The 17,335-nt window shown below is 39.5% G+C and overlaps 1 long non-coding RNA gene across 1 annotated transcript in view; it reads left to right on the top strand.

Moving 5' to 3' along the window:
- The first annotated feature begins 1,789 nt into the window (after positions 1 to 1,789).
- The window catches only part of LOC102724465 (uncharacterized), a 379,687-nt gene continuing 364,141 nt past the window's right edge, over positions 1,790 to 17,335 (top strand). The window contains exon 1 of the long non-coding RNA NR_187944.1: positions 1,790 to 1,872. This is a non-coding gene — a long non-coding RNA (uncharacterized LOC102724465). The remainder of the gene's footprint in view (positions 1,873 to 17,335) is intronic.

Below are 17,335 nucleotides of genomic sequence, written 5' to 3'. Positions count from 1 at the left end.
TCTGGCTTAAGTGTAGGGTAACTATAGAGATCATGGCGGAAAGGTGTGTAGAGGCCCCATGGAGGACAGCCGTAAATGCCAGGCTGAAGAATTTGCACGTAGGTCAGCAAAGGTGAGCCGGGAAAGATGTGGGCTGCAGGAGGGACGTGTAATCACAAGTCCTATCCTCAATTTTGCTCTTTTGTTTTTCTCTAAAAGTAAAATTATCATCTGATTCTGTATAGCAAATTTTTAAAAATAAAGATTTCCTCTGGATGGACATTCTCCTACTAATGCCCATTCATCAAACCCCTGAAAAGCTAATTGTCTGGACCAAGTCGAAGAGATTCAAGGTGAGAGGGGAGGTCTTCAGGAGAAGACAGAGAACACTACTCTTGGTGTCAAGGGAAGCAGGGTGTCTGCATAAACAGCAGGCAATTTCATCAGAACAAAAAGAACACTTACAGAATACATACTAAGTGGAAAGTATCAGAGAAGAAGGGGGAAACGGGCAATGATTAAATATATGCTTTATGCCCAGCATGGATTTTAACCAAAAAACTACACAGGGAATTAGACATTAATATTGTCATTTTGCTGATAAGGGAGTAGGCTCAGAGAGGTAAACAACCTCTCAAAATTCCCAAAACAAGTGACTGGTGGAAGTAGGATTCAAATCCTGATCTGTTGGATTCCAAAGTCTATCCACATTCTTCTGCTGGTCACCACCATCACACCTGGCTCCACAAAGATGGCCAAAATCTGGCTCTCATCTTGGAGTAGCTTGTTAACTACTAGAGAAGGTAACACACACGGACACTCAAATGTTAAATTAAAATGGCCAAATTGGAGGAGAGCCCTAAAGAAGGTACAAAGGGCTGAGCAAACTCAGACCAGGCGGGGATAAGTAATTTTCACCCAGAGGATACAGGAAGATTTTAATGGAAGACATGGCATTTGAGCTGCTTTGGGGGTTGGCCCAATTTGGGTAGGTAAGAAGATTGAAGAGAGGAGTACTGGGGATTCCAGGCAGCATAAAGGTGGAAAATGCTAGTTTTGCGGGGGATCAGGTAATGCATCATGAGAGAAAAATTTGCAAAGGAGAGCCAGGCAGGAGAGGATTTTGAAGATCACACTGAAGCACGCGTACTTTTCTGCAGGCAAGGGGGAGCCAATGCGCATGTCAGCACAGGGAAATGACGTGGTCTGAGCTGGGCTGAAGAGAGAAGAATGTGAAGGAGGCCAATGTTGGAGGGCTCTGTGCCTCTGCAGTGTTCAGGAACCTCTTAACTTTGCCTGAATGCAAACAGTGGGCAGTGAATGGGGTCTGAGCTGAGAATGAGGACCATTGAAGAGGCTGCATAAATAATTATGGATTTTAATTAGGATGAGAGCCCCTTGAGTTTTTAAGTAAGATCAGATGTGAGAGACAGCAGATTATTTGCATGTGGGACATACAATTGCTATGGGAGGAAATCAGTGAAGAAGGAAGTGAGGGTCGTCCAGAGCTCAGGGTAGCCCAGTTACTTCTTTTGCAGAGTGTTCTCTGGTTCGGAGTCCTTTTCAGATGTAAATAATTTCTCAACGAACTCTGAGGTCGTAGACTGTCACCAAGTGATATGGTTTGGCTGTGTCCCCGCCAAAATCCCGACTTGAATTGTATCTCCCAGAATTCCCACGTGTTGCAGGAGGGACCCAGGGGGAGGTAATTGAATCATGGGGGCCAATCTTTCCCGTGCTATTCTCGTGATAGTGAATAAGTCTCACGAGATCTGACGGGTTTATCAGGGGTTTCCGCTTTTGCTTCTTCCTCATTTTCTCTTCCTGCGGTCAGGTGAGGAGAGTTCTTCGCCTCGCGCCAGGATTCTGAGGCCTCCCCAGCCATGTGGAACTGTAAGTCCAATTAAACATTTTTTTGTTCCCAGATTCGGGCATGTCTTTATCAGCAGTGTGAAAACAGACTAACATACCAGGCCTAGGGCTGAAGATAGCGTATTCCTGGCTCCATTACTGGCTGCCCTTCAGTTTAAGGGCAGCGATTCAGCCACAGAGGAGGTGGGGCCACACTCAGTTGAGGCTGAAGATGGGGTTCTGAGCAGCTGGACTGACCTAGCAGTGGCCTTCGTTCATTTGCTGCTGGATTTATCACCCATCTGTGATTATCTCATCACCTTGTACAGCTCACACTCAGAGCTGGCCCTGATGGGAAACATATCTTCCCCAGCACCTTGGTAGATTAAGTTTCAGGGAATGTGTGGCACATCCCTTGGCTGTGACAGGACAAATGATGGATGACCAAAAGCTCATTTTCAAAATTACAAATTTGGCTAATTTTCATGATCCTGAAGAGGAAGGGTCGGGGGGCAGGGCAGGGAGAGAGGGAGAGGAAAAGAAAGACAGTCAGAGAGAGAGAAAGCAGTTTAAGATAGACTCCCAACTGTTGGTAAGATGGCCAAGATGGGCTGGATAAAGAACAGACTTGGGAAAGAATGTGACCGGCCAGCGCAGATTTATCCTGCAGCACCAGTACCTTCCTATGGCTAATTTCTATGGGAAGCATCAGGATTCTTGATCTAATCCTAAGTTTTACAGTGTTCAAAATGCTATCAAGCACAACTGGATTCTTGAGAAATCCTTGATTTTTGCCGTATTCAAAGTGCTTTTAAATGTGACTGATGTTAATTGAGCACCTAACATAGGCCAGGAACTGTGTATCAGAATTTTAATATGCAAATCTAATGTAATCCTTAGGACAACCCTGAAGGTTGAAATTTCTTCCCAGTTGTACGGATTCTCATTTGGGAGTTTAGGAAGGCTAAGTGACTTGCTCAGGAGTTGCTAATAAAATCTGCTATTTCCAAACACCTGTCGTTTCTCCTATAAGAAGCCACTTGCCAAGCCCTCTTCCTCATCTGTTGAAGAGCTCCAGATAATGAGAGAAAAGCAGCAGGCATCAGTATTGAGTGGGGCCACCACATCACACATCTCCAGGAGGCTTCTTCATGGATTAACAATATGCAATTCTTCCACCTGTTGTGAATCTTCTTTGCCCTAGAGCAGTGGTTAGCAAAGTTTTTCTGTAAAGGGCTGAGTGTTAAATATGTTAGGCTTTAGGGGCCTTATAGTCTCTTTGGCAGCTGCTCGACTCTGCTGTTATAGTGGAAAAGTAGCCATAGATAATAGGGAAGTGAATGTGTGGCTGTGTTCCAATAAAACTTTATTTATAAAATCAGGCCGTAGGCTGGATTTGGTCCAGGGGCCTGATCTGGCCCAGAGGTTGTACTTTGCTGTCCCAGCTTCAGAGGAAAGGCCAGCTTGAGGTAGATGCCTACCAGGAAGGCACTGAGAAGCAATTTTTCCTGAAAGCGAGGTCCTTCGGGATAATGTTAGTGTGAGAATGGAGACACAGAGTGCAAACCGATTGCTGAAGAGTCAAGTATGGTTTGCAGACATAATTTGTTTGGTTTATACTATGTTTAAGATTTTCCAAATTAGCTGCTTACATTTAAAGATTGGGAGAAGGCACATTAAACGCACTTGAAATTTCTGCATCTCATGAAAAATTGGAAGATCTTCTCTGGGGGGATTCCCTCACATTTCCCCATGGCAGTCATTGGCTGGAGCTGAGTGGAGGCTGTCCCCATTAGGCAGGCAGTGCCTGAGTGCTGCAGTTTACTACAAGTTCCATATGACCTGCATTCAAGTTCCCTGCTATTTCAGTTTGTGACCCATGTTTTACAGATACTTAGGTTTCAAAAATAAATGTTGTTATGTATAGGTAAGGTAGATGACATGATGCCATGAGATACATATAGATAGTAAAATGGTTACTATAGTAAAACAAATTAACATATCCATCAAGAATCTAAAAAAACAAGTGAAATATGCAGAGGTAGAGAATAAAACAGTGGTTACCAAGGGTGGAGGTGGGAGAGAAGGAAATGGGACGATGTGGTCAAAGGATAGAAAGCAGCAGATGAGGACACTTATTTTGCAGATAAGCATTAAATCCCAACTTTAGGTGGGCCCTCAGCTATCCTTATATTTTTGTCTTATTGCTTTTCTAATGCTAAAACTCCCATTCCTGGGCCAGGGAGGGGCTGATGATGCTGAAATAAGGTCCTCAATGGGATGCCTTTCTGGAACAGGAGGGGAGAGGGAAAGGCCAGGGGGTATAAGTAACACCTTAGAGAGCTCCAAGGATGAAGAGCACAGAAGCCAATTTCAAGCTCAAGGGAGGACCTTGACCTGGAGATGAGAGACAATGAAAAGGGCAACACCTGACCAGACACAGTGAGTGAGTAGTGAGCAGGGTGGGGCCTGGCAGAGTGGGTCTAGGGGGCTTGCAGCAGTGGGGCTGGGCTGGGGTGAGTCTGTAAAGGGTTTCCATTAGCTAATGCTAGGCAGCATGTGGGTAGACCAGCCTAATTCACAGACCAGGTTCCCAGACCTTCATTCCCGCGAGACTTGGCTGCCCGTCCCTGTGCTGGGTTCTGTGCGTGTTTTGTGATACATTAATGAAAATTAAGCATCTTAACAGAGTGCCTGGCATGATTTGATAAATGTGTTTGTTTTTTATTCATATCAGCATTTCCCCATCTGTTCATCTTTCCTCTTTACCCAGTGGATTAGTCCGTTTTTGCATTTCTATAAAGAGACACCTGAAGCCGGGTAATTTATAAAGAAAAGAGGTTTAATTGGCCCATGGTTTTTCAAGCATTAGAGGAAGCATAGCAGCTCCTGGGGAGGCCTCAAGAAGCTTCCAATAATGACAAAAGGTGAAGGGAAAGCAGGCACCTCTTTCCCGGCCGGAGCAGAGGGAAGGGAGAAGTGCCACACACTTCTAAACAACCAGTTCTCAGGAGAACTCACTCACTATTGTGACCAAGGGGGATGGTGCTAAACCATTAGGAACCGCCCCCATGATCAATTACCTCCCACCAGGCCTCACCTCCAACACTGGGGATTACAATTGAACATGAGACTTGTGTGGGGACACAGATCCAAACCATATCACCCGGCTTGCTTTTCAGGAAGAAGGGTCTCTCCTTCTTGCCTAAACTTAACTTTCGTCTTAAGCTACTGTTTTTTTTTTTCTCCTACCCATGTCTCCCTCTCTTTCTTGCCTCCATTTTGCTTCCAAACCTGCTCATGTCTCCCCACTCAAATCTCAAAAGAAATAGAGCCAATCTCCCTCAACCAGAGAAAGTTCTTATGCTTCTGTGTGGCTGCTCCCATTTCCTTTACCCTCACACATCTCAGAAGAGTGAGTTCAGACTCCCATGCCAGCAGTACCCATGTGTTCATCAGCCCCCTCCTAACTGCTGTCTCACAGCTGCTCTAGACCGTCTTTTCTGGGTACCTCTGCATGCCGCAGTCTGATATTTACATCCAATGGCTATTCCACAGGTGACATTTTTGGTTATTAATACCTTAATAATTGAAATAATAATTTGAATTTGTTGAACCTTTTGGTCTTCACACAGTGCTTTTACATATGTGGTCTCATGAACTCCTCTTAACGCAAATAGTATAATTCTCATATGTTGATGAAGAAATAGGTGCTGTGAAAGACTAAGTGACTGGTGTTCAGGTACCACCACCGGCTCACCTCCTTTGATCTCAGGTCTCACTCTCCTTCCCATTTCTTGTCCCTCTACAGTGATTGCTCTGTTCTGTTCTTCTATCTCTCCATTGGTGACTTCTCTGTCTCCATTGCCCAGGTCTCTTCTTCTTCCCAGGTTTTGCACTTAGACCATTCTCTGGATAGCCTCATCAGTTCCTATGGGTTCAATCACTGCCACTGTGATGGACTTTTAAATCTCTGCTCTATCACTGTGTGTCTTTGGTCCAGTTATTGACCCTCTTTTAGTATCAGATTCTTTATTTGACATATAAGCACATTGAGTAGTTGATATGCTTTTTACAGCTCCAACTTTAAATGAGATGAAGAATGTTAATTTTTAAACCAGGATCAATATGAAAGCATGAGATCTCATGAATAAGTTCAGCAAGGTTGTGGAATCAAGATCAATATAAAAAAATCAATTGTATTTCTATATACTAGCAAGAAGTAATCCAAAAATTAAGCAATTCAATGTAAAATAGCACCAAAAGAGATAAAATACTTAAAAATAAATTTGACAAAAAGTGCAAGACTTCTACACTGAAGACTACAAAGCATTGTGAAAATAAAGATGTAAATAAATGAGACATTCTGTACTCATGGATGAGAAGTTTAGTATTGTTATGATGGCACTATTGCCCAAATTGATCTAAAATTCAACACAATCAGTATCAAAATACCAACTAGGCTTTCTTTTGTAGAAATTGACAAGCTGATTCTGAAATTCATATGAAATTGCTTGAGACCCAGAGTAGCCAAAATCTTGAAAAAGAACAAAGTTAGAAAACTCATACTTCCTGATTTCAAAACTTATTCAATAATCAAAACAGTGTGATAGTGGCATAAAGATAGCTATATAGACCAATGGAATAGAATTTATAGTCCAGAAATATACCATAAATCTATGGCCATTGATTTTTTACAAGGCTGCCAAAAAGAATTTAATGGAGAAATTAGTCTTATCAACAGATGGTATTGAGACAACTAAATATCCACATGCAAAAAGAATGAACTTGGACTCATTACCTTAAATAATACATAAAAATTAACTCCAAATGGATAAGAAAAGTAAGAGCTAAAACTATATCTCTTAGAAGAAAACAGTAAATCTTTTTTTTATTATTATACCTATTAACTCATCATTTACATTAGGTATTTCTCCTAATGCTATCCCTCCCCCTGCCCCCCACCCCACGACAGGTCCTGGGGTGTGATATTCCATGCCCTGTGTCCAAGTGTTCTCATTGTTCATTTCCCACCTATGAGTGAGAACATGCAGTGTTTGGTTTTCTGTCCTTGTGATAGTTGGCTCAGAATGATGGTTTCCAGCTGCATCCATGTCCCTGCAAAGGACATGAACTCATTCCTTTTTTATGGCTGTATAGTATTCCATGGTGTATATGTGCCACATTTTCTTAATCCAGTCTATCATTGATGGACATTTGGGTTGGTTCCAAGTCTTTGCTATTGTGAATAGCAAAAAACATACATTGCATGTGTCTTTATAGTAGCATGCTTTATAATCCTTTGGGTGTATACCCAGTAATGGGATCGCTGGGTCAAATGGTATTTCTAGTTCTAGATCCTTGAGGAATCGCCACACTGTCTTCCACAATGGTTGAACTAGTTTACACTCCCACCAATAGTGTAAAAGTGTTCCTATTTCCCCACATCCTCTCCAGCATCTGTTGTTTCCTGACTTTTTAATGATTGCCATTCTAACTGGTGTGAGATGGTATCTCATTGTGGTTTTGATTTGCATTTCTCTAATGACCAGTGATGATGAGCATTTTTTCATGTGTCTGTTGGCTGCATAGATGTCTTCTTTTGAGAAGTGTCTGTTCATATCCTTTTCCCACTTTTTGATGGGGTTGTTTGTTTTTTTTCTTGTAAATTTAAGTTTAGTAGATTCTGGATGTTAGCCCTTTGTCAGATGGGTAAATTGTAAAAATTTTCTTCCATTCTGTAGGTTGCCTGTTCACTCTCATGGTACTTTCTTTTGCTGTGCAGAAGCTCTTTAGTTTAATTAGATCTCATGTGTCTATTTTGGCTTTTGTCATCATTGCTTTTGGTGTTGTAGACATGAAATCCTTGCCCATGCCTGTGTCCTAAATGGTATTGCCTAGGTTTTCTTCTAGGGTTTTTATGGTTTTAGGTCTAATATTTAAGTCTTTAATCCATCTTGAATTAATTTTTGTATAAGATGTAAGGAAGGGATCCAGTTTCAGCTTTCTACATATGGCTAGCCAGTTTTCCCAGCACCATTTATTAAATAGGGAATCCTTTCCCCATTTCTTGTTTTTGTCAGGTTTGTCAAAGATTAGATGGTTGTAGATGTGTGATATTATTTCTGAGGCCTCTGTTCTGTTCCATTGGTCTATGTGTCTGTTTTTGTACTAGTACCATGCTGTTTTGGTTACTGTAGCCTTGTAGTATAGTTTGAAGTCAGGTAGCATGATGCCTCCAGCTTTGTTCTTTTTGCTTAGGATTGTCTTGGCAGTGCGGGCTCTTTTTTAGTTCCATATGAACTTTAAAGTAGTTTTTTTCAATGCTGTGAAGAAAGTCATTGGTAGCTTGATATGGGGATGGCATTGAATCTATAAATTACCTTGGGCAGTATGGCCATTTTCACAATATTGATTCTTCCTACCCATGAGCATGGAATGTTCTTCCATTTGTGTGTGTCCTCTTTTATCTCATTGAGCAGTGGTTTGTAGTTCTCCTTGAAGAGGTCCTTCACATCCCTTGTACATTGGATTCCTAGGTATTTTATTCTCTTTGTAGCTATTGTGAATGGGAGTTCACTCATGATTTGGCTCTCTGTTTGTCTGTTAATGGTGTATAGGAATGCTTGTGATTTTTGTATATTGATTCTGTATCCTGAGACTTTGCTGAAGTTGCTTATCAGCTTAAGGAGATTTTGGGCTGAGACGATGGAGTTTTCTAAATATACAGTCATATCATCTGCAAACAGGGACAATTTGACTTCCTCTTTTCCTAATTGAATACCCTTTATTTCTTTCTCTTGCCTGATTGCCCTGGCCAGAACTTCCAACACTATGTTGAATAGGAGTGGTGAGAGAGGGCATCCCTGTTGTGTGCCAGTTTTCAAAGGGAATGCTTCCAGTTTTTGCCTATTCAGTATGATATTGGCTGTGGGTTTGTCATAAATAGCTCTTATTATTGAGCTATGTTCCATCAATACCTAGTTTATTGAGAGGAAAACAGTAAATCTTAATGACTTTGGGTTAGCAAGTGGTTTCTTAGTTATGACAGCAAAAGTACAAGCAATGAAAGAAAAAGTGGATAAATTGGACTTCATTAAAATTTTAAAACTTTGGACTATTAAAAGTCCAAAGAATTGGATAAAGTACTTGCAAACCACCTATCTGAAAACAGACATATCCAGAAAATACATATAATGATACAACTCAATAATAAAAAGATAATCCATTAAAAATGGGAAAATGGTTTAAATAGACATTTCTCAAAAGAAGACACACAATTGGCCAGTAAGAACATTAAAAGATGCTTAGTATCATAAGTCACTAGTAAAATGCAAATCAAAACCACAATCAGATCCTACTTTACATTCATTAGGATGGCTATAATAAAATAGACCACAACAAGTGTTGGTGAAGATGTGGAGAAACTGAAACTCTCATACATTGCTGGTGGGAATGTGGTGCAGTCTGTTTGGAAAACAGTTTGGCAGTTTTTTGAAAAGTGAAACATAGATCTAGATATGACCCGGTAGTTCAACTCGAGTAATTCAAGATAGAGAAATGAAAACACAGTTCTATACATACACATAAGTATGTATGAATGTTCCTAGCAGCATTATTCATTATGCCCTAATACCCAAATGTCCGTTTACTAAAAAATGGATAAACGACATGTGGTACAGCCGTACAATGAACTATTATTTGGCAATAAAAAGTAATTCAGTTCTGATACATGCTACACTGTGAATAAACCTGGAAAACATCATGCTAAGTCAAAGAAGCCAGTCACAAAAGACCACATATTGTATAATTCCATTTACAGGAAATGGTCAGAATAGGAAAATCTAGAACAGATAGATTAGTGGTTGCCTTGGGGCTGGAGTGGTTGTTTTGGAAGTAAGAATGACTGCTAATGGGATTTCTTTTGGGTGCTGAACATACTCTAAGCTCAAATTGTCATCGTGGTTGCACAACTCTGATTATATTAAAAACCATTGACTTGTACACTTTAAGTAGAACTATAATATGTGAGTTATATCTCACTGAAACTGTTTAAAAATGAATATGTAAGGATTATGATGATGATTAATATCATTATTCAAAAATTATTCTGGTATTTATATGGTTTTCAGAGTTACAGCTAGCTTTTCCTAAGACGGTGGTTTACTTGGGAATCATTTCTGCTCTTAACCAAGAATTCAAGTTGACTGTAGTGTTCTAGAATGAAAGATACCTCCATGTGAATCATCACTCTGCTACTATCCAAGTGTGTGACATTGGACAATTTTTTTAACCTTTCTAAATCTCAACTTCTCTACTTCCCACAGACAAGGATAACAATACTATCTGAGCAATGTTAAACAACAGATGTACTTAGAAGCATTTAACATAGAGCCTGGAACATATACCTGCTCAATAATTGTTATTTTCATCTCTTGTTTCAGAAAAGCATCTCCAGCCTGTCTGAAGCAGGTAGACAGCATTGTGAGGGGTTGTGTGCGCAAAGTTATCTCTGGAGTGGGGGAGCCTCTGGCATAGGCCAAACTTCTTTCCATGGGGTATGTTTGGAGATTTATAGATAGACACAACACGAATAAATGCAATTTCCATATATAATATATAAGTGTGGAAATGCAATTTCCACACTTACAATATCAAGGTTAATGAAAGAATCACATTAGTTAAGGTATGAGCTTTATCAATGGGTTACTTATTCTATGAAGGAGTAATTAAATGGACATCATAGGGTGGTGTTCAGAGCCTGAAACTTTTCTTCGCAGAAGGCTTTGAAGGTTAGGACAACTGGATTTCCCCAGGAAGAGTGGTGAAGTGGATGGAATAATTGCCTGGGGTTTTCTTCCTGACTTTGCTCAATCAATAACATAATGTAGTCTGAAAGGAGCTATGTTAACCCTGTAGCTCAGTTTTCCTTTCTGCTAACTGGGAGCTGAACTTCTTCCCTCTGGGAGAAGACTGTTGTGAAACACTCTGACCTGTGTGGAGAGACGACCTCGGATTGGAAACAAGGTTTCATTGCAGCATTATTGTTTTCCATTCCTAATTTCTGTAATTTGGTGGGAATGTGTAATTATAGCATAAAGACATAATTATTTAGGCCTTGCCTGGCAAGTCACATGGGTATTCCATTTAGATATAAGTAGGATATTTTTGCATAATAACCCACAGAAATCTGCATTAAATTGCTGTGGCCGACTTGCATCTTGTCATGCCCCTCTGTTCAGCCTGGGCTGTCTGGCGAGGACTATTTCTCAGCCCCTGTGCTCCTACTACTAGGGTGCCTGGGTTTCATGACCACATGTCTATAGTGGGAAGTGGAATCTACTCTAGTCATAGCTGTCAGAGCGAGCACTGTAGCCATGGGCTTCCTGTAGTTGGACCCTGGGGCCGGGAGCTCTCTGCGCCTTCACACATTCAACAAATACATACCAGGCATCTACTATGAGCTAGACACTGAGGTGCTGGGAATACATCACTGAATGAAAAAAAGAAGTCAAAAACCACTCTTCATCTGTTTGTGTTGGGGGGTGATGATATAGATAAGACACAAAATATTAAAAAACATGATGCGTTAGATGGTAATAAACGCTATGGAGAAAAATAGGAAAGAAATTCTGGACGCAGTAGCTCATGCCTGTAATCCCAGCACTTTGGGAGGCCAAAGTGGGTGGATCTCCTGAGGTTATGACTTCGAGACCAGTCTGACCAACATGGCAAAACCCCGTCTCTACTAAAATTACAAAAATTAGCTGGGCGTGGTGGCAGATTCTTGTAATCCCAGCTACTCAGGAGGCTGAGGCAGGAGAATCTCCTGAATCCAAGAGGCAGAGGTTACAGTGAGCTGATATTGCACCATTGCACTATAGCCTGGGTGACAACAGCAAAACTGTCTCCAAAGCAAGCAAACAAAACAAAAAAAAATAGTAAAGAAATATGAGGAAATATTACCAAAAATGTCACATTTGACTAAAGAGCTGAAGAGATGAGGTGGTGACCACCCAGGCAAATCTGATGAAAGAACATTCCAGACAGAGGGTCTGGAAATGAAGAGACCCTGGGGTGGGAGTGTGCTGGAGACCAGTGTGGCTCTGTGGAAGAGAGCAGGGGGAATTGTGGTGGGAGTTGAGGTCAGAGAATGATGGGGGTGGGATTGAGGATTGTGGGGCTTGGTAAACTATGAACCACAGGCCAACTCCAACTTGTCACTTGTTTTTATGAATAAAGTCTTATTGGCACACATCCATGTTCATTTGTTTATAAATCATGTATAGCTACTGTAGCTACAGTGGTGAGGTAGGTAGTTGCAACACAGACAGTATGCTTTGCACAGCTTAAAATATTTGCTGTCTGGCCCTTTACAGAAAAGGTTTCCTGGTCCCTGGGATAGGGTATTGGTGGCATCATTTCCTATCTTCTCCACGTCCAACCGTGTATTTGGGACACAGAGTGAAAGAGTATATGCCCTCAAAGTGCCAACAGTGGAGTGGGGTGACAGGCGATTAAAACACAGTTCCATGCTCTCATGCATTGTTCTGGGGTTGCAGAACGGGACAGCCAATTTGGAAAACTGTTTCTCCGTACTTAGTAAAGCAAAACATATTGATGTATTATGATCCAGCATTTCTACTCCTGAGTTTATACCCAACAGAAATGAGTGCTTATGTCTTCTAAAAGGCATACATAGGAAGTTTCCTAGAAACTTAATTCATAATAGCCTCAGAATGGAAATAAAGTTAATCATCTATCAACCTTTGAAAGGATAGATAAATTGTGATGTGTTAATACAGTGAAATATTATATAGCAATGAAAAATAAATGCTACGTGCATACATTCATGAATTTCAGAGTGTTAAATGAAGAATTTAAACTTTAAAGAACACATATTGCATGAGTTCATGGATATGAAGTTCAAAAACAGGCAAAACTGATCTATTTGGATAGAAGTCAGAAGAGTGATTCTCTTTGATTATCTAACTGGGAGAGGCACAAGGCAGACTTCCTGGAGTTTCAAAAGCTATATCTTGATCTGGGGGTAGATATATCATCGTATACAGAGTCAGATATACATGGATCATTACACTTAGGATTTGTGCACTCTGCTATATATAAATTAGGCCTCAATAAGAAATGAAAATGCATATTCACTACCATGAAAGCTTGTATAAAGTTCTATGACAATGTGGGAAAATGGGACTAAATGCATGGGAGAGGCTGGAACGATTCATATTGGAGCCGAATTTTGAGGTTAAGAAATTGTTTTCCAGGGCAGACCAGAGTGAAAAAAAAAAAGTCCTTCAGGGAAGAAACAGCATATGAAAAATCTGAAAAACAAAGCTTATTTGGGGAATTCTAGGAGAGTAATGCTGTTAATCAAATACAACACATTCTCCTTTCCTCCTGCTTCCTATTCAGCTTTCATTTTGTTTGCATTTTGTTTTTATTTCATTCAGTTACACCTGTTAACATAAAAAGTTGTATCTGGTTCCTTTGGTAATTTTATGAAAATATTTGTATACCATAAATCTCTCCCTTTCATAGTGTACAATCCAGTGATTTTCAGTAAATTCATAAGATTGTACAATCACCACCACTCTAATTCCAGAATAATTTCATCACCTCAAAAACAAACTCTCTATCATGAGGACTCACCAGCAGCCAATTCTCCTCTCCGTTAGTCCTTGGTAACCACTAATCTTTCTACTTCTATAGATTTGTCTATACTAGACATTTAATATAAATTATACACTATCTGACCTTTTGCATTGGGCTTCTTTCACTTAGCACCATATTTTCAAGCTTCATACATATTATAGCATAATTGAATAACAATTTATTATGTAGATGTACCACATTTCATTTAGCCATTTGTCAGCTGATGGACATTGGGCTGTTTCCACTTTTATAATAATAATGCTACTATGAATATTTTTGTACAAGTTTCTTTGTGGAACTATATTTTAAATTTTCGTTGGTATGTATCTAGGAGTAGAATTGTTGAGCAATATGGTAACTGTATGTTTCACTTTTTGAGAAACTGCCACACTGCTTCCAGAGTGGATACATCCTTTGTATTTCCACCAGCAACGTATGAGGGTTCCAACTTCCCAACATCTTCACCAAGACTTGTTATTGTCTTTTTTATTATAGCCATCCTTGTGAATGTGAAGTAGGTTCTCATTGTGATTTTGATTTGCATTTCCTTAATAACTAATGATGGTGATAGTAATTGGCCATGCTTATCTTTGTATATCTTCTTCTAGAGAAATATTTTTTCATGTCCTTTGCCCATTTTTAAAAAACTTGGCTATTTGTCTCTTTATTGTTGAATTTTAAGTTATTTGTATGTTGTAGATACTATCAGATAAATGATTTTAAAATATTTCTCATATTCTTTGAGTTTCTTTTTCACTTAATTTTTTATTTGGTGCACAAAAGTTTAATTTTGATGAAGTTCAGTTTCTCTATTTTTTCTTTTGGTGCATGTTGCTTTTGGTGTCAGATGCAAGAAGCCATTTTCTAACCCAACATCATAAAGATGTATGGTTTTGTTTTCTTCTAAGAGTTTTATAGTTGTAGTTCTTACTTTTAAGCCTTTTATTCATTTTTAGTTAATTTTTATATATACAGTAAGGTTGCAGTTGGTCCAAGTTCATATTTTGCATGTGGATGTCCTATTGTCTCAACACCATTTATTAAAAAGGCTATTCTGGTCAAGCATGTTGGCTCATGTACATAATCCATCACCTTAGTAGGCCAAGGTGGGAGGATTGCTTGAAGCCAGGAGTTCAAGACCAGTCTGGGCAACATAGCAAGACCCCATGTCTACTTTTTTTTTTTTTTTAAATTAGCAGGGTTTGGTGGTGCATGCTTGTAGTCCCAGCTACTCAGTAGGCTGAGACAAGAGGATCATTTGAACCCAGGACTTCGAGGTGGCAGTGAGCCATGATTGCACCACTGGACTCCAGCCTGGGTGACAGAGCAAAAGCTAATCCCCCCAAAAAAAATATATATATATATATATATAAATATAAAATATATATAAATATAATATATATAAATATAAAATATATATAAATATATATAAATATAAAATATATAAATATAAAATACATATATATAAATATATATATGGAATGTGTCGTCCAACTTTGCTCTTTCCAAGATTCTTTTGGTTATTCTGAAACCCTTGAATGCCTGTAGTATTTTTAGAATCAGCTTAGCAATTTCTATTAAAGCCAGTGGGAGATTTTGATAGAGATTGCATTCATCTCTAAATCTATTTGGGCTTAATTGTCATCTTAACAATATTAAGACTTCCAATCCATGAACATGAGATGTATTCTCATTTATGTAGATCTTCATTAATTTTTTTAACAATGTTTTTCTAGATTACAGTGTACATGTATTGCACTTCTTTTATTGAATTATTCCTGTTATTTGATAATATTGCAAATTTGAATTATTTGAATTATTTTTTTTAGTTTCAGATTGTTCATTGCTAGTATATAAAAATACAGTGGACTTTTGTGTTTATCTTGTGCCCAATATATATTATTGCTTTTTGCAATAATATATATTTGCAATAATATTTGCAACCCTTTAGTATTTCTTGTTAAGTCAGGTCTGCTAGCAAGAAATGATCAGTTTTTGTTTATCCAGAAATGTCTTATTTTATCTTTCATTTTGGTGCAGTTTTTTATTTGACAATTTTCTGAGAATAAGGCTTTGAAAGAGCCACATCCTCTTTTGCTCCCCTCACTGGATGCCAGAATAGTGGTTTTCATTGTGAATCTATCTGATCAGTTATTTTTCAAGATGAATATAGAGCTGGAGAATGGGCAGAGGAACTAGGACAAGTTAAAATGCCACAGAGCTTACTGTTCTTACTGAGATTCTGCCAGTTTTCTTGCATAAGTGATCCCCGGATTTCTGCAAACTTTTAGCTAACTTCCAGCCTTCTGAAAAAGTTAATTGTTTTTCAAGTTTTTGCCAGTTTTCTCATTGCTTTTATGAAGGAGGGAATTTTCAGAGGGCCTTAATGTGCAATTTTTGATCTTCTTCAACTTTTTTCAATGTGTTTGTGGCAGGAATACTGAAATGTGCCAAAAAGACCTGATGGTCTAGTTAGAGAAAATATGTGTACAACTATTATAGAGCAATGAAGAATGCTTTAGTATCCTCCTAGCCAATTTGTTGTCCAAGGACCAGTAGCATTGATAGTAGTGGGAGCTTATAAGAAATGCAGAGTCTCAGATCCCTCCCAGACCTGCTGAAATTTAATATTTTAACAAGATCCTTAGATGATTCACATGCACTTTAAAGTTTGAGAAACACTAGTGTCATGTACTTCTTATGCAATGCCAGCTGCTGCTACCTACAACCCCTCTAGTCTAGTAGTGTAGCACAACACATTTATTTCTCACTCCCATTGTATCCAATGTGGGTGGGTGGAGACTCTCTTCCATCTGGTGGCACAGGAATCCAGGTTCTCTTAACTTTGTGACAGTACCATATAAACACATAGCTTCCAAGTTTTCCCCCCAGAAGATAGAGATGGAGCTAGCAGGCTGTCTCTTAAATGTCTCAGCCGAGCAGTGATACAGAAAACTTCTGCTCAGGGTCCGTTTGCATGAACTAGTCACATGGCTTCAGTCTATCTGCAAGTGGTTGCAGAATGTGGAGATGGAAACCTGGACTATTTGCTAAGCACTATCTCTGCCGCTCTCCTTCACGAGATCCACATGATCAAACAGGGATGTTGATAGGAAGGAAGTCCATTTTTAGGGAAATCATAGAGATGGTTAAAAAGAAAGTATAATTGGCTGGGCATGGTGGCTCACACCTGTAATCCCGGCACTTTGGGAGGCCGAGGTGTGTGGATCACGAGGTCAGGAGATCGAGACCATCCTGGCTAACATGGTGAAACCCAGTCTCTACTAAAAATATAAAAAATTAGCCAGGCATGGTGGCCAGCGCCTGTAGTCCCAGCTGTTTGAGAGGCTGAGGCAGGAGAATGGTGTGAACCTGGGAGGCGGAGGTTGCAGTGAGCAGAGATCGTGCCACTGCACTCCAGCCTGGGTGACAGAGCGAGACTCTGTCTCAAAAAAAAAAAAAAAAAAAAAAAAGAAGTATAGTTTTGGTGTGGGGCTTAGAAGATGTACTAAGTTTAAAAGTTAAACAAGCAGAAGAAGGTGGTTATTAGAAGAAAGGAGTTAGTTAAATACACAGTATTCTAGGAAAAAGAACTGGCTATCAAACTTCATTCAGAGAGATACGTGGTGGAGATATTTCAGAAAATCTCCTGTTCTCATTTATAAACTTGAGTGAAAATTTTGCAGTACAGCCTTTTTGAGAGTTTGATTTGCATAGATTTGATGACTTAGAAGTGTGAATTCTGAAACTGTTTGCCATGATCAATTTACAGACATTATAAAAGTGAACATACATCCTTACCCATCTGCACAGGGAGGGGCAATGGGACACAAAG

The sequence above is a fragment of the Homo sapiens genome, chromosome 15, assembly GCF_000001405.40.
Source record: "Homo sapiens chromosome 15, GRCh38.p14 Primary Assembly".
NCBI classification, from domain to species: domain Eukaryota; kingdom Metazoa; phylum Chordata; class Mammalia; order Primates; family Hominidae; genus Homo; species Homo sapiens.
Note: the sequence above shows the minus strand (reverse complement) of the source record. Positions and strands in the feature narration are given on the sequence as shown.